General features: G+C 44.2%; 2 long non-coding RNA genes across 4 annotated transcripts in view, besides 4 other annotated features; one reads left to right on the top strand and one right to left on the bottom strand.

Moving 5' to 3' along the window:
- LOC105376209 (uncharacterized) overlaps positions 1–2594 on the top strand; it is a 38984-nt gene extending 36390 nt beyond the window's left edge. Inside the window, exon 3 of the long non-coding RNA XR_930230.3 lies at positions 2194–2594. This is a non-coding gene — a long non-coding RNA (uncharacterized LOC105376209). The remainder of the gene's footprint in view (positions 1–2193) is intronic.
- The window catches only part of LOC105376208 (uncharacterized), a 78157-nt gene that overhangs the window by 49473 nt on the left and 7667 nt on the right, over positions 1–21017 (bottom strand). For 2 of the 3 annotated variants that reach the window (XR_930229.2, XR_930228.2), the window contains exon 2: positions 10932–11092. This is a non-coding gene — a long non-coding RNA (uncharacterized LOC105376208). Of the gene's footprint in view, positions 1–10931; positions 11093–19119; positions 19362–21017 lie in introns of those variants that run through there. The other variant, XR_007061720.1, reaches the window with a different exon arrangement.
- Positions 7354–8553: an enhancer, noted in NCBI's record as "CDK7 strongly-dependent group 2 enhancer chr9:110517211-110518410 (GRCh37/hg19 assembly coordinates)". NCBI's record gives its function as "activates an origin of replication core promoter dependent on BRD2, BRD4, P300/CBP, MED14 and CDK7 cofactors, with strong dependence on CDK7, by STARR-seq in HCT116 cells {active_cell/tissue: HCT116}" and the evidence as "EXISTENCE:reporter gene assay evidence [ECO:0000049][PMID:35650434]".
- Positions 7921–8215: an enhancer, noted in NCBI's record as "tiled region #9178; HepG2 Activating non-DNase unmatched - State 10:DNaseD". NCBI's record gives its function as "activates a minimal TATA promoter and a strong SV40 promoter by Sharpr-MPRA in HepG2 cells {active_cell/tissue: HepG2}" and the evidence as "EXISTENCE:reporter gene assay evidence [ECO:0000049][PMID:27701403]".
- Positions 11463–11562: an enhancer, noted in NCBI's record as "active region_28752". NCBI's record gives its function as "activates an Ori minimal core promoter by ATAC-STARR-seq in GM12878 lymphoblastoid cells {active_cell/tissue: GM12878}" and the evidence as "EXISTENCE:reporter gene assay evidence [ECO:0000049][PMID:35858748]".
- Positions 11604–12331: an enhancer, noted in NCBI's record as "NANOG hESC enhancer chr9:110513433-110514160 (GRCh37/hg19 assembly coordinates)". NCBI's record gives its function as "activates a minimal SCP1, AML or CMV promoter by ChIP-STARR-seq in primed H9 embryonic stem cells {active_cell/tissue: H9 hESC(primed)}" and the evidence as "EXISTENCE:reporter gene assay evidence [ECO:0000049][PMID:30033119]".

Raw genomic sequence — 21017 nt, 5'->3', positions numbered from 1 at the left:
GATCTAAGCTATGAGAACCCAAAGGCATAAGAATGATACAATGAACTTTGAGGACTTGGGAGCAGGAGTTGGAGGGAGGTGAGGGATAAAAGGCTGCAAATATGGTTCAGTGTATACTGCTCACATTATGGGTGCACCAAAATCTCACAAATCACCACTAAAGAACTTACTCATGTACCCCAATACCACCTGTACCCCAATAACTTATGGAAAAAATAAACGATAATAAATTAAACTAAATTAATAAGAATAAATAAATAAAACTTTTAGGTTCGGAGTACATGTGCAGATTTGTTTTATAGGTAAACTATATCATGTTTAGCCTACAGATTATTTCACCACCCAGGTGATAAGCATAGTACCTCATAGGTAGTTTTTGATTTTTTTAAACCCTCTTGATATATCTAAGTAGATTACACCAACACTACAGATGAAAAAACTGAGTCACACAAAGATAAATATAGGCAAAAGTTGCATGGTAGTATCTGGCCTATCTGACTACTAAGCTTTTGCTCTTCTCCTTAACTGCCTTGCCTCTAAGACTCTAAGAAGTTTACTCAGGCCAGGTGCAGTGGCTCAGGCCTGTAATCCCAGCATTTTGGGAGGCTGAGGCGGGCAGATCACTTGAGGTTGGGGGTTTAAGACCAGCCTGGCCAAAATGATGAAACCTCATCTCTACTAAAAATACAAAAATTAGCTGGGTGTGGTGGTGCACACCTGTAGTCCCAGCTATTCAGGAGACTGAGGCACAAGAATCACTTGAACCTGGGAGTTGGAGGTTGCAATGAGCTGAGGTCACACCACTGCACTCCAGTCTGGACAACAGAGTGAGACTGTCTCAAAAAAAAAAAGAAAAAAAAGAAGAAGTTTACTCTCCAATTGCCAACATGCAATGGAGGGCTGTTAGGGGCTGGAACACCTGGTGGGATAGCACTTGCTCTCAAATTCCACTTTGTGGGTAGCTGCAGATGATACCAGCTTGTAAAGCAGGCATATCTGCAGTTTTGTAATCCTTAACGTTAACTATAATAGTCTCCCAGAAGCAGATTCCTGCACTGCTCATTTAGGAGAATCTGTATTAGTTATCTATTGCTGTATAACAAATTATCATAAAACTGGCAGGTTAAAACAATACACATTTATTTTATAGTTTCCATGGGTTAGGAGTCTGGGCATAACTTAGCTCTGCTCAGGGTCTATTATTCTAAATGAAGTAACTCAGGAATGGAAAACCAAACATTGTATGTTCAGGGTCTCACAAGTTGTCAGGCAGGCTGTGTTCTCATCTGGAGGCTCAATTGGATAAGAGTTTGTTTCCAAGATCATTTGAGTTGTTGGGAGAATGCATTTCTTTGCAGATACATGACAGAAGATGCTGTTTTTATTGGCTGTTTTCTGGAGGCCAACCACAGGTCCTAGAGACGACCCGCAGTTCCCTGCCACATGGACCTCTCCATAAGCAGGTCACCACATGGCAATTTGTTTCTTCAAAGCCAGCAGGAGAATCTCCTGCTTCAGTCCACTAAGATGGAGTCATATATAGTGCAATATGATCATGAGAGTAATAGCCCATCATTTTTGACCTACGATGGATGGATTTATTTGTATTTTTATCACCACTATCATTTACAATAATTAATATTATCATTCATCATAATCATGCTAAATTTGGTATCCTGAAATATAGTATTAAGATTCCATTTACCTTTTACATAAAAACCTTCCTTAGTTCTCAGTGCCTATGGAATAAAATCCAAGTTCTATAGCCTGCAATTCATGCCCCCCATCCCTGTTATATTCCTGGCCTCATCTTTGCCCAATCCTGGCTCTTTCCCAATGATGCCAAACACTTTCGTCTCCTTTCCTCCTTTCAGCACAGGTAGCCTCTCTGCCTGGCCTGAACTTTGCTTTCCTCTTGGTCAAGTTGGTGTACATATCTTTGCAAACTTATTGGGAAAATGACCTTTACTCTCCCGGAGCCTGCTCAGCCTCTCCCCTCTCTGGGCTCCATAGCTCTGGGAATGTGCATCTTTATACTGCCAGTCACACCATATTATATAATTGCATCAAGCAGTGAGTTTCAGTTCATCTCTAAATTCCAAGACTTGGTACAGATTAGGTCTCAACAAATCATGCTGAATAAATACACAATTAATTTAATTAACAGCAACTTTTCTTTTATGTCCTCTTCAGGTTTGCAAAGTATATTAAGCTGATGTGGGCAAGTTTGGAGTGAGGACGTTCAGCAAAAGACAGAGGGAACCAGCTGGATGACCCTAGCAGGCCTGGAACAGTTTGGAACCGGACGTCCTCTTCTTGTAGACTGACAGGCTCCGGAAAGAAGCCACAGCTTCTCCGTGGAGCCCTGGGCTCAGCACTTCCCGTATTCACTACTGCTATTCTCAGTAGTCCTCTTCCCCAAAGTCTGCTTCCATATTTTCAGGTCTTTGAATGTTGCAGCCAAACCACTGCTCTAGTTCTGAAAGCAGAACCAAAACACACCCCAGGCACCGTTCCCTCACCGACTTCCTATTCCTAGGGCTCCAATCCCAGCCTCCTACCCCTTCATCCTCTCCCTGCTCCCTTACCCTAGAAGCCACACCCACGTTTTGCGCCCTGGCCTTGCACACTGCCAGCCTCCTGCATGCTCTGAGTTTTCCTCTGGGATTCCTCTTCCAGCCAGGCTTCCTGAGACCCCTGTGGGTCTCAGGAACCCTGCTCCTCCCCGCTCTCCTCCTTGCTGAACCACTTCCCCATTTGAATCGTTAATCTCCTCCTCCCTTTATTCTGGGGGAAGCCTGTTCCAAAAGCCAGTGGTGACTTTCTTGGGTTAAAGGCCAGGATTAAAAATAAGTAGGAGTTACCATTTCTGGCCCCATAGTTCCTCAGGCAGGAAGGAGCCACCAAGGCAGCATGGCCTGACCCAGCACAGAGACTGCCGAAAATGACCAGGCCAGCCAGTCCCCCAGGAAAACAGGTCAGGAAAAGCCAAGGCCCACCAAAGGGGTCCAAGAATGAGTTTCGTTTTGTATGAAATGTAGGGAATATTCAATATGCCCATTTTAGAGGCGATTTCTCTCCATTGTGATTCTAGTTAAAATCCACAACCAGAATTCACAGAAGCAGTACTGGGTGAGGGAAAGATATGAAAAAGCTTGGATTTGAATCCCAGCCGTGTAACCCAGGACAAGGTGTGCAAAACCCTGAGAAGCCAAATTTCTCCTATAAAACGAGAAGGAGAAAGCCCTCTACTTGGGATGATTGAGAATCAAATGAGACAATATTTAGTAACTAGCACAGCACAGAATCCGTGGAAGTCTCGCCAAACAAAGCTAATTACCTTCTCCTCTAAAAGTGTTGTTGTTGCCTTCAGTGGAGGCCCCTGGGAGGTTGTCAGGCTGTAGCACTGCCCTACCTGGAATGCATTTAGTACCTGTACCTGCAGGGCACTGTCGTCACTGCCTCATGGGCCTCGCGGCAGGCCTGCCACCACTCCAGCTACCAGTCCAGCCAGGGTGGTGATAAATGGCCCTGAGCCAGCATCCTCAGCAACTTCAGGAGCTGCTGGGAAGAGGTGGCTTTGATGTCAAGCCAAGGGAAGACGTGTTACAATTATCTAAATTATTCAAGGCCCCCACAAATTTCAGAGAGCTGTAGGTTGCTTGCAGATGATTGTAAATTCCCTGCCTACCACTTCTTTATCACACCAACTAGGCTTTCAGTTCCCTGTCAAGTCCCTCTGTCTTACACCTCAGTGCCTTTGTATGTACCAGAGTCTCTGCTTAGAATTCTTTTTGCTCCCCTGTCACTGCCCAGAACATCCCCCCTCACACTTCAGGTCTCAGCCCCATGGTCCCTGTTTCAGGAAGCCGTCCCTGATGGTTCTTCCCCAGTGTTCTTTACATGTGGCATTTTTGAGTCTGCTATAATCACTCATTTATGTGCCTGGGTCCCCAACAAAATTGAAACTTCTTCGTGGGTAGATACTGACCTTTGCTCACATTCATGCCCGGTGTTCACACAATGCCTGCCACAGAGAGGTTCCCGATACATGTTCATTGAAACTCACTTCTACAACTGTGTGGTAGTAGAAATAACCAAAGCTCGAAAAACTAAAATACCCCCTTTTGAATTCAGGCTGTATCACCAAATAGCTGTGACATTGGTTTGAATTCCTTAGACTCTCTGCCCATCAGTTTTCAGTTGGTAAAATGGAACTATGAAACCAGTCTCAGAGAATGGTTTTGAGAAAACACACACATGCCCCAGTGGGGCCACCTCTGCACAGCTAGGGAGAAATGGAGAGTGGAGCCATTTCACTGACACTCCAGGTCAAACAAGATTACTCATCACCACCTTGGGTGTTGACCTTGATGTCTTACTCTCAGCCTTCTTCCATAATCCAGGCCTGGGACTCAGGAGGGAGTCCAGGAAACAGGAGGCTTCCTGGCCTTTAGTTCAAGGGCAGAAAACAGGAGGACTCTTGGCCAAGGGCAGAGCCCTTCACACAGATCTCAGCCAGATCTTACCTCCCTGGATAGCATCCACAATGACGCTGAAAGGGGAACTTCCAATGGATGCTCTCTTAGGCAAGAATGGACACAGTACCTGGCTCCAAGATGCAGATTCTGGCTGCCATGTTGAAAAACAGGACAGCTGGAAATCTCAAAACAGGACTTGTTTTCCCAAAGCATAAACCTGCATTTCAAGCCAGGACTCTTTTCCTGTCCTTAAGAAGAATGGCGCCATGAGTTGGATATTAGTTACCATAGGTTGGGTTATACTCCAGTAACAGAGAACCACCAATAATCTCAGTGGCTTAAAATCACAAAGGTGTCTTGCTCACAGATTGGTTTTATGGACCTGCAGAGTCCCCAGGACCACCAACCTCCATAGGGGATAGCTCAGAGAGGCAACTTCACATCAGCATGAGTTTCCCCAACAGCCTGGCCAAGGAAGAGCAGGCACCAGAGCCATTAGCCATCACATGCTCCACCTGGACGTCAATGTGGTATCAACTTTGTGTCTGTTTATCCTCTAGAGTATAAGTGCCTTCAGAAATATAGCCATCCTTCTTATTTTCAGTGCTGTGTACCTCTTTATATGTTTATAATTCATTTACACCTCAACTAGAACTCTGAGTTGTACCCACAATAATCCGTGCCAGGTTCTGGGCTGGGTGATGGGGACACAACTATTAACAGAAACAAGCCTCAGCCTCTACCGTCCGTGAGCTCACAGTCTAGAGGGGGAAGCTAATGTTAAACAAACAAACAAACAAACAAACACAAAAAAACTAATTCAATCCTATATAATCAGGGCCATCACTGAAATCCATGAAATCTGCTATAGGAGTGAGTTAACGGAAAAATAATCTTCCCAGGAAATCTTGGAAGGATTTAATGAGGAAGTGATACTTGAGCTAGCTTTTAAAATATATTTTCCCAGGTAGAAGGGATGAGAAGGGCAAAGTCAAGGGCAATAGCATGGACATGGACATTAGGGGAAGTCTGGCATATTCAGGGAAGGGAGAGCTTCATTCTGTGTGTTCCTGGGAAGTTGCGGATGAGATGGGGATGGTGAGGGTACAGAGGGCAAGAGGAGCAGGGCTACATTACGGGGCACCATGTATGTCTGACTAGGGAGTTTGGGTTTTATTTAGTGGGAAATGGGAGCCTTTGTAGGTTCTGCAGGAGGGACGTGATGCTATGGAATATTAGAATCTCACCCTGGCTGCAGGAGAAGAATGTATTAACAGGGGAGCACCTGGAGCCATGGGACTAGTGATAATGCTTTTGAAGTAGACAGCCTCCCAAGTCTCTCTAAAAAGGGCCCTTGGTCTTGGTTCTGTAGCAAGAGGGTCCTCCTGATTTCTACAGATGTGTCTTACTTACGTGGGTACATGTGGATACATATGCACATTACAGGATGTTTAAAGTCCTTCAATATTGATTTGTGTATAAAATCTCTCCAAGGAAGGCAAACAATGGGCAAAACTGGGCTTACCCAGAGTTCAGTATCAAAATTGCAGATGACGGTTGTCAATTTTTCTACAGAGAGCTAGAAGCATTGGAGTCCATGACATAAGACATAGCATCTGTGAAAACAGGGACTGGCCTATGGGTGGATCTCTTAAAAATGTTGATGCTTTCTATTTCTATGAGGAAATCTGCTGTGAGACACTTATTTCATTCTGTGAATGTCAAAATTAGGTGACCTGTTAAGCTCCTTTCTGCTCTGGCAGAGACTTAAGTTTTAAATTAAACTTAAGTGTCGAAGGGCTAAGTGACCCATCCAAGGTTGTACAGAGAGTTATTAGAATCCTGAGATAGCAAGGTCTAGTGGAAAAACATTCAAAGTGGGTTAGTTTGTCTTTGTTTTGCCATCACACAGAAATCCACATATGGGGGCCCTAATGATAAATCAGTTAACTATTCAGATATAAGATTATTTTTCAACTCAATAATATAAAAGTTGTTTTTGGCCAGGCACATTGGCTTACACCTCTAATCCCAGCACTTTGGGAGGCCGAGGCAGGTGTATCACTTGAGGCCTGGAGTTCCAGACCAGCCTGGCCAACATGGTGAAACTCCATCTCTACTATAAATACAAAAATTAGCTGGGTGTGGCAGCACACACCTGTAATCCCAGCTACTTGGGAGTCTGAGGCAGGAGAATCACTTGAACCCGGGAGGCAGAGGTGCAGTGAGCTGAGATTGTGCCACTGCACTCCAGCCTGGGCTACAGAGTCAGACTTTGTCTCAAAAAAAAAAAATTGTTTTTAAGAATTACTTAATTGACTTTATTTATGAAAAGACAAAACAGATTTCCCTGAGTGTAAGTCTTGTGCTGGTCCGTGCTCAGTCTAAGTTGGTGAGAATATTGATGTGTTCAGACAGAATGGGTTTGGAAAGAACAGGTATTCATGGAGGACTCCTCCAGGTTAATTCCTAATTACATCAAAGAGTGTTGTTTTCACCTGTAGCCAGTCAATCATGAAAGAAGGATTTCTATAGAACCAGATAGGGCTAAACATGATCTAGAATTTGGCCATAGGATTCAACAGAAATCTCAACTTACCATCCAGAACTTTTCATGAGTAGCCATAGTGTGTTTTTCAGCTTCATTTTTCTACAATTGAGTCAGGCTAAGCAGGGAAGGTGCTTGATAATCATACCTACCCTCAGGCGCCCATTCCAAGCACATCATAGCAACAGGATGGCCTGTCCTTTGATCAAAATCTGAAAATTTTTTCTGGATTGTTTCATTTCATTTATATCATATATATCAGTCAAGGTTCTCCAGAGAAAGAAGACCAATAGTATCTAACTATCCATCTATTTATCTATTAATCTATCTATCCACTCCTCCATCTATGTGTGTATGTATATACACACATGTATATATACATATATGTATATATGCATGTATGTGTGTATTTGTATGTGTATACACACGTACATATCTCATTTGCCTCATTGAATTGTGAGGCTAGCAGGTCTGAAATCCATAGGCTAGGCTGGCAGACTGGAAACTCAGCCAAGAATTGATGCTGCAGTCTTGAGTCAGAATTTTGTCTTCTCCAGGAAAATTCAAGTTTTGCTCTTAACGCCTTCAACTGATTAAATGAGGCCCAGTTCTTTCCTTTACTTAAGGACAAGTGATTTCCTTTACCTCTTCAAAATACCTTCACAGCAACGTCTAGATTAGTGTTTGCTTAAATAACTGAGCTGACACAAAAAACTAACCATCATGCCAAGTTTCTGCCATTTTTCAAAATCTGTGATTCGACTGGATTTAAGAAAATTTAGTCACACGAGGACAGTACTTTTTTCAGCTGCCATAAGCTCAATACATCTACCCAAATCAGTCACGCTCTTGTTTTTTTCCTTGTAATATTGAGTTTAGTGTGCCCGGATGTCTTGTCACATCAATTAGGAAGCAAAAATGTATGAGTCATGGAGCATGCGGCAGAGTGAATTTTCAAGTCCCCTGAACAGGTTTTTATGACCCAGCCATCTGATTGCCCTAAAATAAACCCAACTGCCATGTTCCGCCTCACCTTTTCCCAAATGCCCCATGGCCTGGAGATGACTCAGGGCCCAAGAATGAAGAAAATAATCAGAATCTCAATCACTTCCTCTATCACATCTTCAGTGAGCCTGACTTACAAAACAGAAACTCTCCAGAAGAATAAGGCAGTGAAAGCTGAACCCAGCTACCTTCTTCTTGGATATGAACAAATAATTATAATATTCTTTCCCTTTCATGGAAGGAGCCCATCTGTGTCAAGGGAACTCAATTTTTCTGCATTTAGCTTGCATGTCTCAGATGCCATGTTGGCAGGTGGACAGCCCTGTTATTTGTTGTGTGCTAGCTAATTGTACAAGATCCTCAAACGCAAAATGAAAAAGACAGTTTGGGCACAGTGGCTCACGCCTGCAATCCCAGCACTTTGGGAGGCCGAGGCAGACAGATCACCTGAGGTCAGGAGTTTGAGACCAGCCTGACCAACATGGAGAAACCCCGTCTCTACTAAAAATACAAAATTAGCCGGGTGTGGTGGCGCATGCCTGTAATCCCAGCTACTGGGGAGGCTGAGGCAGGGGAACTGCTAGAACCTGGGAGGGAAAGGTTGCAGTGAGCTGAGATCATGCCATTGCACTCCAGCCTGGGCAACAAGAGTGAAACTCCGTCTCAAAAAAAAGAAAAAGAAAAGAAAACAAAAGAAAAAGACAGAAAACAGCTAGTTCTAAGGAGAATATGGAGCAACCATCAAACACGGTTGAGAAGCATATAAACCAAGTACAACAATTTTGAAAACCTGTGTATATATACACACACACACCGTAGGAGAGGAATTGCTAGGGAATAAAGTACTTATAACTTTGTAAGTAATGTGTGTGTGTGTGTGTGTGTGTACACATACCCTAGAAGACCTATATATATGTGTGTGTGTATATGTATATGAGACCTATAAGACTGGGGAGGTGTGTGTGTGTATATATATATATAGGTGTACATAGGTATGTATATAGTTGGACACACACCTATATGCATACCTATATACATAGTATTAGTCTGTTCTCCTGCTGCTAATAAAGACATACCTGAGACGGGGTAATTTATAAAGGAAAGAGGTTTAATTGACTCACAGTTCAGCATGGCTGGGGAAGCCTCAGGAAACTTACAATCATGATGGAAGGGGAAGCAAACATGTCCTTCTTCACATGGTGGCAGCAAGGAGAAGTGCCAAGCAAAAGGCGGAAAAGGCCCTTATAAAATCATCAGATCTCATGAGAACTAACTCACTATCACAAGAACAGCAGCATGGGGGTAACTACTCTCATAATTCAATTACCTCCCACTAGGTCCCTCCCATGACACATGGGGATGATGGGAAATATAATTCAAGATGAGATTTGGGTGGGAACACAGCCAAACTATATCATACACCTATATACACACACATACACACCACCCCCAGGAGAGGAATTGCTGGGGAATAAAGTGTTTAAAACCTTGTAAGTAATGTGTATGTGTGTGTGTGTATGTGTGTGTGTGTGTATATATATATATGTATATATATATATATATACACAGACAGAGAGAGAGAGAAAAAAGTCATGGCAAAAACCACAATTACTTTTACACCAACCTAATATATATGAGACCTATAACACTGTGGGGTGTGTGTGTGTATATATAGATATAGATATAGATATAGATATAGATATAGATACAGATATAGATGGATATAGGTATGTATATAGGTGGACACACAGCTATATACATATCTACACACACACACACCCCCATCTCTCTCTCTCCATGTATATATATGGAGACACATGTATATATCAAACAGAAATGCACACACACTGAAATGTTCATAGCGATGTTATTCATAATAGCCAAAAGCTGGAAACAACTCAAATGTCTATCAATAATAGAATGGATAAATTAATATAGTCACACATTGGACTACAATGATGAGAATGAGAATCTGCAGCTACATGCAACATTAGGGAAGAATTTTATAAAATAATATTGAGCCAAAGAAGCCAGGCTCACAAAAAAAGAAGATATTGTATGATTCCATTGATAGAAGCCATAAAAACAGGCAGAACCAATCTATGGTAGAGGAAGTTGACACATGGTTACCATTGAAGGGAGCATAATAACTGGAAAGGGTCAACTGGGGGCTTCTGCGCTGGTGGATTATATTTACTTTTCTTATCACTGCCTAATAAATTACCCCCAAAACTTAGGGGCTTAAAACAACAATCATTTCATTATATCTCATGATTTTGTGGGTCAGAAGTTTGGTCAGGGCTCAGGTGGGTGATTCTTTTGCTCCATGTGGTTTTGACAGGGGTCACTCAGTGGTCTTTAGCTGGCAAATGGGCTGCTTTGCAGGGTCCAAGAAAACTCTCCTAACAAATTTCCTGCTTTGTCAGGGATCACCAGAAGTCTGGGTTCCACTGGAACTGTCAACAGGAGTGCCTATATGTGGCCTCTCCAACATGGCAGTCTCAGAGTAGCTGGACCTCTTATGTAGTATTTCAGAGCTCCTGGAGAGGGTTTCCAAGAGACCCAGGGAGAAGCTGCAAGGTTTTTTATGATCTAGCCCTAGCAACATTTCCGCTTCATTCTATGGTCAAAGAAGTCATTAAAGCCAGTCCAAATTCAAGGGGAAAAGAGGAAGAATTCCACTTCTCCAGGAAAAGGACATTAATATACTTGGAGGAAATGAACTGATGGCAGTCATCTTGGAGACAGGTGACCAGAGGGAATGTTCTGCTTTTTGATTTGGGTGTTAATTATAGGCTCTATTCAGGTTGTGAACATTTATCAACCTGTATACTTCTAGGTGCCCTTTTCTATGTGTATATAATTTTAATAAAATATTGCAATCTAAACAGACTTACCAAGCAGAATAACCTTTGGAACAGACAGGTCCCATTTGGACAGGTCCCATCTCTGTGGCTGGATGGATACTCCTGCTTCACTGGAGTCACATGGCCCCTCAGCATTTCTGTGACCTTGGGTTACATAGGTGTGAAGGTCAGGCCTCTTGCTCTGTTAGGGTCTCCGTTTCAATGACAAAAGAAAACATTTATTTGGATTACTGTGAGGAAGAATGAGACAAATGAAGAGAAAACTTCTGGCATATCCTAGATGCTCAGTAAATGAGCTTCATTTCATTTCAAGCCCTGAGTGCTGCCTCAGACCCTTGACTCCTAGGCTGCCAAGGAAATTAGCAGCTAGGACTTTCTAGAAGTCTTGCCAGGAGTCCAGAGAGAGCTTGTCTTCCAGCCCCCCTTGCTCACCTTGTGAGCAGAGACAGGGGTACATTCTCAGGCACCTGTGCCCTGCAGGGAGGGCCTGGGTCAGAAGCCGATGAAAATAACTTTGCAGCTGCCAGGACTAGTCCAAAGTCCCCAAGCGCAGTGACAAGTGAATCACCTCAACGAACGCTTAGTCACTGCAAGGTACTTTCCACACAGACACATGGAGATGGTTACCAAAGAAATGTCTGCTGGCTGCTCTCACATCAGCTCAAAGAAAATGTTGTTGTAACCTTTACTTTGGAGGGGGAAAAAATAGCATCACTTTCCCTTTTCCTTTCCTTTTCTTTTTTGGAGAGAGATTCATTGGCAACATTGTTGAAGTGGTTGTTTTTATTTACCCTGGAGAAAGTTTCCAGATAGCTCTGAATCCAGAGCTTTGTATATGTAGCAGTCCCTTCAAGTCTTAAGCTCTTAGTGTCTAAGTGTGTAAACAACCCCCTTAGAGGAGACTGTCACGGACCATCCAGATCACAGGGCCTCCCATGAAGCTCCCTGATGGCAAGCAGAGTCCTCCAAGCTTTTAAAAGTCAGAGATGGGAGGTCCAAATCCCTCTGCCCTGTATTATCAGTATAGCCTCAGGGCAAAGGGTTCCAACTTCCTGAGCCCCCTACTTCTTTATTAATAACAATGAAGCTTCATTATGTGTACCCACAAGGTGGTTGTGAGAATTAGATGAGGTGGTGTGCAGAAGCATCCCCAACAATGCTTGGCATTCTCATAGTAGTTGATTAGTTAAAGTAAGTTAATCTCTCCTTCTCTCTCCTGATTCTTCCTTTGTTATTTCTCTTGCTGCCTTTCTCTTTTTAAACTCCCTCTCTTCCTTCTCTTTTCTTCCTTGCCAAACTTAATCAACCCTCATTCTCTCCTATTCTCTCCTTTCCTCTCTGCTGTCTGCGTGTTTTTTTTTCCTTCCTTTTTTGCCTTGTTTTCAAGCCTCACCCCCCCCCCCCCCGCCTCCACACACACACACACACACACACTCACAGCCATCTCTCTGGCTGGTACAGCTTTGGCATAAAGCTATTGAAAGCCAGCCAAATTCTGGTTAAAAACACTGCAATTCTTGGCCAGACTTTCTCTCCTTACAAATGAGGGTGATGTTTCAGGCATGGGAAGTCTTCCCATCCATTTAGGCCCCAGGGAAAAAAATAGCAACGCCTCAGTGTGTGGCCTTAGGTGGACAGCGAAGTGGGGCTCTGGGTATTGACAGAAATAAATCTGGTGTTTCTGAAAATTGTGAAACATGCGCAGTGAATGTGTCATCCCAGCAAAAGTGAGTCAGCTCCTAGGCCGGGGCCCAAATCTGGCCGCATTTGCTTTCTAAATAGAAAGTGTATTCCTGGCCAGCCCAACTTAGCAAATCAGCGGTCAATGAGAGTGGAAAGACAGGCAGAAAAAGAGACATGCAAATGTATACTTTGCAAGAAGGTTACTGGAAAAATCAAATTCTCTCTCTGTGATTTTAAAAAAAATCATTCATTTTCTTCTTTTCTTTCTATCCTGATATCTGCATCAAACTTTCCTTTTCATCATTATTTTACCCCTTCTGGAGTGGCCTTCAAAACTAGGAACACAGCAAAGTTGCAACAAAGCAGCCTGGAGTAATTGGGTGCTGTAAACTTTGGGGTGAGACTGACCTGAGTTCAAATTCTGACCCCACCTTCAACAAGTTCTGTGTGTGTTGTGTTGTGTTGTGTTGTGTGTGCATGTGTATGTGTGTGTGTGTGTGTGTGTGTGTCCTTGGGAAAATTTCTAACCTCTCTGAAGATTTAGTATCACTTTAACCAAATGGGAGAAATCCAGTGGAGGGTAAAGTAGGTAACATCAGCAGTGCCTAGTTTATGGCAGGTGTTTGTCATCTCTGAGTCACCTTTCTCTTTTTTAGGAAGGGAAGTATGAGGAACTCTGATGCCTCTTCACTCCCTAGTTCTCTGTCCACATGGGGTTATCTCTTTTAGAGGGTGTGAGCACCCAGAATATGGGAGCAGCAGCTTTGCCTCTTCCACTCCAGACATAGAATTTGGAGAAAAGAAGCAACACCAGGCTCAGGGCCTTCTGCGCCAGCATCATGGACAGGCAGGGCTCCCCTGCATCCCTGGCAAGCCCAGATGCTAGAATCATGTGGCCTCCACTCTGCCAGAGGAAGTGATGCAACTGCCCATTGGCTTTGGGTCAGCGTAGAAGAAAGTGTCCTGTTACAGCGTGGGCGTGGCTGGCTTCAGGGCTCCAGTCTGGTGCCCTGTTCCAAACCCACAGCAGAGGGGCAAGCAGGAGATCCTGCCTTTGTGCATAGACTGCCTGCTGTTTACCCAGCTTTGTGTACCACTATCCGGGCCCTAAAAAGGGCCCAGCCAAGCAAGTCATCTCTGGCCCTTGGCCTCTCCCTTCTCTCTGCTCCAGCTCACAAATTGCCCTCACTACAAACACCTGTTTCCTTTCTCCCAGACCCTGTGGGGTCGAGCTAGTCTATTGACCTCATATGCATGGCAGGGATATAATTGAACTCAATTATAGTAACTACATCCATTAAAAACCTATGTAATGTTCATTAAGCCGCCTAGGTAATATGCAATTAATGGCATTACCATATGAATTGTGCATTGGGTCAATAATATGCAGATTATATGTAATGTTCAGTGTATGTATTAATTACAGCACATGCTGGAAAAGCACAGCACTCCAAGCTTGCAGGTCTGTCCCAGTTAGAAACCCTTTTGATCTCATACAAATCCTATTATAGAAGAGCCTTTTCATTAATTGGAACATTTGCTTTTTGGCTCTTTACACAAAGATGACTATTGGAGAGAAAGGACTCTGAAGAGCTGGTTAGCGCTAGAGTTGGGTAAACTTGAGAAGCCTGTATTGGAGCTACTGCTGGAGAAGAGCCATGACCTTCAGGGCAGAATTCAGGCTTCAGAGTTCTGACCTAGCCTTTGCCTGTAATTTTTCTGCCAATCACTGCCATCTCCAATGGGATGTCCGTCATCTGGGAAATGGACATAATAGGCCTTGATGATGCCTACGTCACCAGTACATTACATAGATTCTCTCACGAGGGAGACTAACATCCTTTGGAAAGGCAGAGTGGTAAAGGCATTAAGCATCATTTCCATGAAGCTCCCAATGGAAAATTTCTTCACTAAAAAAAAAGAACCTGCTCCAGTCCTCCCAGCCTGACCTTCATGTGGGTAGGTTTGTCCAATAATGCTCAACCTTAATGAGAGAGCACCAGTGATGTCCACCCTTTAAGTGGGGTTCTCTCATAGTTTCTCTTCAGAGTATATTACTGGCATTGCCAGGGTCCTGGAGTTACCATCTCTGTTTTAAAGAATTTGGAAACAGAGGCCCTGGTGAACGAAGAGAGTTGCCCAAGTTCATGTCAGAGAGTGTCCTTGACATGAAGGAGATGACAGAGGATGGACAGAGAGATGTGCATCTCAAGTCCTTGTAACTGGCTTCTGACTCTGCACCCAGCCTTCACCTCCTCAGCTGACACGAACAAATTTCTGAACACTCACACCCATCTCGTTCTTCTTCCTGTTGTTGACTATCAGGAAAGCCCTGGTCATCTGACCTCCAAACCATCTGGCAGTCCACACTCTGCTCTCCGTATAACATTCATTTGAGCATTTGGTGAATGCCAACTCGAGACCAGGCACTGTGCTACACATGGGCTAAAAACATGAGGAACTTATGGCCCTGCTTTCAAAGAGCTCAGTGACAGTCTTGGTTCAGGCCTTGACCCCCTGTTCCTGAAATATGGATGGCCTAATGGGTCCTTTTCCTTGAATTTTACCTTTTTCCAATCCAACCTTCTTATAGCCACTGGAATGGGCTTTTTAAATCCAAAGCTGGCCTGCTTAAATCTTTTCAGGAACCCTCAATGCTTACAAAATAAAGTTGAAGCCCTTCACTTGGCATTCAAGGCCCATCAGGATGTGCCTTTGTTTCTTTGGTTTCCTCTTCTCTACCATCACCATATGCAGCAAGAACACTGGATTTCCCACCCGTAAATCCTTCCCATACCTGTAGTGTGAGTTGCGGCTCCTTATATTAAGAAGTGGAACATATTTCTCTGCCCCTTGAATCTCAGTAGGCCATGAAACTGTCTTTGGCCAATGGGACCATTAGCAAATGTGAAGCAAGCAAAAGCTTGAAAGCTCTTTCTTTCTGCAAGCCCCTCCAGCCACTATGTTTACTAACCTTAGCTAGACTCCTTGAGGATAAGGCCCATGTGGAAAGAGATCTCAGCTGACCCCAAACATGTGGGTAACACCATCCACAACTTCCAGCAACAACTAAGCTCACTTAGACCATGAGAATCACTCACTCAACCCAAAAAATCATTCTAAAAAATGATAAATATTGGTTAAGTCACTAAGCTTTGAGTTGGTTTGTTATACAGCAAAAGCTAACTTACACAAACTCACAATGTGCATGCTGTTTTGTGCTACTCTGCTCTACCCCATACTGTTCCCTTCAATTGGTGTGCAGTTCATCCTCCTCCTGTGCCTGAACACATTTCTGTTCTGCTCACTGAATGACAGGCAGAGAAAGGGAGAGAAATCCCCATAGAAAGAAGAGCATACAGCCAAGTTTGCGTTGGCTGTGCATTCTGCTCTCAATATTCTTAGCCTGTCTTAACAATCATTCTTCTGGGTGGGCATACATGCTTTTCTTTCTCATGAAAAACTGGGCATCTCAGAGCACGGACTAAAACCCACTACCAAGGCTGTGCCTGCATCTGACTCATCACCCTCAAAGCCCTCCTCATCCTCCTTTCTCATTCCCTCATTTTCCTCACTAGCCTGGGAGAGCACTTTGCCCAGCATGGTGCTTGGCTCATCATTAAGCTTCCTGAAAGGACCCACATCATCATCACTTCCTCCATGAAGGCTTCAACAACATCCCAGGCTAAGTTGCTCTGTGTTTCCACCCAGTGCTCCCACATCCTGTTTTGCTTATGGCTGGCACCTTGTAAGGAAAATCTGTTTACCTATCCATCTTCCACAACTCTCCATTCCCAGCACACAAACACTGTCAGTCACCAGCAGGCCTTCTCTATCTTTGTGTCTCCATGCAGTAGAATCAAAGAAAGAATTGGTTGGATTAATTCATCCATCACCAAGGGCACACAAGGGAGCCACGGAGAATTAGAAACAAGCAGCTTCGAGTCAGACAGCTCTGAATGTAACCCCTTTTTTTACATTTTCAGGTAGAAAATCACTTAAACCTTTAGATTTTCAATCACCTCATGTGTGAGTGATGTCAATCAAGGAAAGTGACTGAGACAAGTCTCAGTCATTTTAGGGGTTTATTTGCCTAAGTTAAGGATACCCAGGCTGGGCGCGGTGGCTCATGCCTGTAATCCCAGCACTTTGGGAGGCTGAGGCGGGCGGATCACCTGAGATCAGGAGTTCCAAGCCAGCCAGGTCAACATGGTGAAACCCCGTTTCTACTAAAACTATAAAAATTAGCCAGGCATGGTGGTGGACGCCTGTAATCCCAACTACTTGGGAGGCTGAGGCAGGAGAATCACTGGAACCAGGGAGGTGGAGATTGCAGTGAGCCAAGATCATGCCACTGCACTCCAGCCTGGGCGACAGAGGAAGGCTCCGTCTCCAAAAGAAAAAAAAAAGATACTCAAGAGATAGGTCTATGCCTTTCTCCAAAGATGATTTTGAGGTCTTCAATATTTAAAGAAGAAAGGGTGGGAAATTGAGAAATACACAATTTTCATGTGAGAGGCAGGGAGGGGAAAACAGTCATTCATGCCTTAGTCTGGCTCAGTGAATCTGCATTTTTATGTAAGATAACCTAGGCAATAGGGCAGAGGAAACAATCAGATATGCACTGGTTTCAGGTGGGTAGAGGGATGACTTATAGTTCTATCCTGTGTTGCCACACCTGTGAAGATAAACTATCTATTTATTAATAAATTGCCGTGTTGAGCTTTAACAGAAATGCTTTAGGGTAAAGATCTTGGGGCCCACCGGGAATTTCCTTGTAGCTTTTCATCTTTATGTAGCTTTTCATCTTTGTATCCATCTTATTTAGGAACAAAACTTGGAGGCAGGTTTGCATGACCCAGTTCCCAGCTTAACTTTTGCCTTCGGCTTGGTGAGTTTGGGGTGCCAAGATTTATTTTCCTTTCACGGTGAGCACTATCTAAAAGATCATTGACCGTTGAACAACATAGGTGTTAGGGGCACCAGTCAAAAATCTGTATAATTTTTGACTCCCCAAAAACGTAACTACTAATAGCCCACTGTTGACCAGAAGCCTTACCAATAACATAAACAGCCAATTAAAACATATTTTGTATTTTATATGTATTAAATACGATATTCTTGCGGTAAAATAAGCAAGAGAAAAGAAAACATTATTAAGAAAATCATAAGGAAAACAAAATATATTGACTATTGACTGAGTGGAAGTGGAGCATCTTACAGGTCTTCATCCTTATTGTCTTCACATTGAGTAGGCTGAGAAGGGAGGAGGAAGAGGAGGGGTTAGTCTTGCTGTCTCTTGGTGGCAGAGACAGAAGAAAATTCACATACAAGTGTGGGCAGAGGGATGTGCGCAGCTCGAACCCATGTGGTTCAAAGGTCAACTGTAATCCTTTCCTCATGAGATGGTTTTGAGGAGTCATGAGATGGTTTTGAAGACTCATGAAAGATTATAAGTAAAACTCCACACTCAAAAGCTGGCACATGGGAGAGATTCAAGCCAAGTTCTGGACATCTTCTCCCTTCTCTCCAACTACCCACAAGTTCTCCTGCCCACTTTAATTTTTGGCTCCACCCCTGGCTGTTTCCCTGGATTACAGAGATGTCTTTCCCACACCACATGGGTGTCCTGAGCTGGGAAGAAATGGAGCATCCCCTCTGCTCAGCACCCTCTTGGAGCCTGAAGTTTATACACTTTATCTTAGCTTCCTTCTCCTTTATGAAGAGAAATAAGATGAGGCCTGCTGGTGTGGTTTATGAACTGTAACTCGGGATGCAAATTTTCACTGTTACCTTTCCGAGATGAAACAAAGGCTTTCAGCTGTCACCTCTCCTCTCCTGACCTCACTCTCCTGGAGTCTATAGTTGCAGATGGCAAAAGTCTCTGGCCTGGTTTGGTATTAGAAATGGTGTTGAAAGAGGAGGGCTACTCCATCCTCATTCATTCATCCCATTCATTCATTCTCTCTCACACACACACTCTTTGATTCATTCATTCATTTATGTGTTCTCTACATATGCATGGAGCATGCGTTTTCTGTGCCAGGCTCTGTGCTGGGATCAGAATGAAGAAGCAAATATGACTCAGTTGGTTTCTTCCCTGAAGGAGTTGAGTCCTCTGTTGACTTCTCTGTTATGCGTGTATATGAGAAGAGATGCAGGTCATTGCAATGTGCAGTGTGTCTTATGAGCCTGCCCCGGGACACAAAGGTAGAATCACCTTTTCCATGAAGCTGGAGTGTGAGCATAAAGTGCAATCGACAGGGGCGAGTGCAGAAAGTACATTGGATTGTGGCAATTGTGAAGGGCACTCCAAGGAGCTCTGTTTTTTGCCTCGGGCAAACAGGAACCACTGAAACCCTTAAAACAAGAAATAAATGGGAGCACTCATCTAGTTACTTCTTCAAATGCAGCTTGATCTGCTTCCCAATAGTTATTCCCCAAGAAGGTAGGAATCAGAGCAATCCTACAAAGCATTCCTTTGTATGGCTTTAGCAAATTACTTTATCATTTTGAATCTCAAAATAGGAAATACCAGAATTATTGAGTTTCCTCACTGAGTGGTTGAGCCTTTAAAACGGTTCTAGCCAAGCCGTTAGGTGTGTAGTCTCAGGGGTCAAACCTGGTTTGCCAACTCTGTCATTCTGGGACCACGCAACTGTTGAAATCCCCAGTTCTCCCACCTGTAAAATGAGCATGATCACATTTCCTTTGTTGTTGTGTGAATGAAAAGGGATAATGCATGTAAAAAGATTAGCACAGAGCAGGGCATGGTGGCATGTGCCTGTAGTTCAAGCTACTTGGGAGGCTGAGGGAGGAGGATCACTTGAGCCCAGGAATTTAAATCTGCAGTGAGCTATGATCATGTCACTGCACTCTAGCCTGGGTAACAGAACAAGACCTCGACTCTAAAAAAATTTTTGAATAAATACATAAATAAAAATAATGTTTTATTTTTTGTTTTGTTTTTGTTTTTGTTTTTGAGACAGAGTCTCGCTCTGCCGCCCAGGCTGGAGTGCAGTGGCGCGATCTCAGCTCACTGCAAGCTCCGCCTTCCGGGTTCACGCCATTCTCCTGCCTCAGCCTCCCGAGTAGCTGGGACCACAGGCGCCCGCCACTACGCCCAGCTAATTTTTTGTATTTTTAGTAGAGACGGGGTTTCACTGTGTTAGCCTTGATGGTCTCGATCTCCTGACCTCATGATCCACCCGCCTTGGCCTCCCAAAGTGCTGGGATTACAGGCGTGAGGCCACCGTGCCCGGCCATAAAAATAAATTGGAACAAATAATAATAAATAGGCTGGGCTTGGTGGCTCATGCCTGACATCCCAGCATTTTGGGAAGCCAAGCCGGGCGGATCACTTGAGGTCAAGAGTTCGAGACCAGCCTGGCTAACATGGTGAAACCCCGTCTCTACTAAAAAATATAAAAAATTAGCCAGGTGCTATGTCTCATGCCTGTAATCCCAGCTACACGGGAGGCTGAGGCATGAGAATCCCTTGAACCCGGGAGGTGGAGGTAGCAGTGAGCTGAGATTGGGCCACTGCACCCCAGCCTGGTCCCAAATAGATAAACAAATAAGTAAATACTAAAAAATAATGGTTAGCACAGTGCCAGCACGTAGTAAGCACACAATACATGATATTATTATCTGTATTAATTGATAGGATAACTCCCTGACACATGCGACTCTATCAGAACTGCAAGCTCATTCCATGTTCTTGCCTCACACACTCCCAAAGGTCTCAGGGACCACACAGATTCCAGGCCCATGTAGTGCCCCCTCCCAGAGCTCCATATTTTGAGAAGGAAAGAACTGCCAAAGAAAAATCCAACTGCATGCTTTTCCTATCAAAGAGAAAAACAAAAAAATGCAAAACACTTGCCGGAACACACCAGTTTTCTTCCCAGAACTTCTTAAAATTCTATGGGCCTTTCCGTCATATTCCTGGCCTATGCCTGCCACCAGGATATTTCCCGGCAGATATCGCTGGTGCCCCCAACCAGGCTCCAAGGAGAAGGAAAGGAAGGTCCTGCCAGGTACAGACGTGCCCAAGGCAGAGCTGCGCTCATCTTCTGGGCCTCATTGGCCTGCAGGGAAGGCAGAGCAGGCTTTGGGCTGCATCCAGAGTTCTCAGGAAGAAGCCCTGTTCATCTCCAGAACAGGAGACGTAAGGCTTTCCCACCACCCTGGGCATCCTGCCACCCTGCTCCTCTGGAGAGAGAAGCTCCTATGATCAACCAGAGCACCCATCGCTTCCCATGCCTCCTGGCCTTGTTCTGCTTTCTCATCTGGGAAAAGCCAAGGCTTTGTGCAAAACCCTCTTTGTGCCCTGGGGAGGGGCACTTAATCCTCACAGTGCAGCAGGAAGAGGGTGCTGGACCCACTGCTGGAGCTCCCTAAGGGCAGGGGCTGCTCAGACTCATCACTGCA

The sequence above is a fragment of the Homo sapiens genome, chromosome 9, assembly GCF_000001405.40.
Source record: "Homo sapiens chromosome 9, GRCh38.p14 Primary Assembly".
NCBI classification, from domain to species: Eukaryota; Metazoa; Chordata; class Mammalia; order Primates; family Hominidae; genus Homo; species Homo sapiens.
The sequence above is the reverse complement of the archived record's forward strand: the minus strand, read 5'-3'. Positions and strand labels throughout refer to the sequence as shown.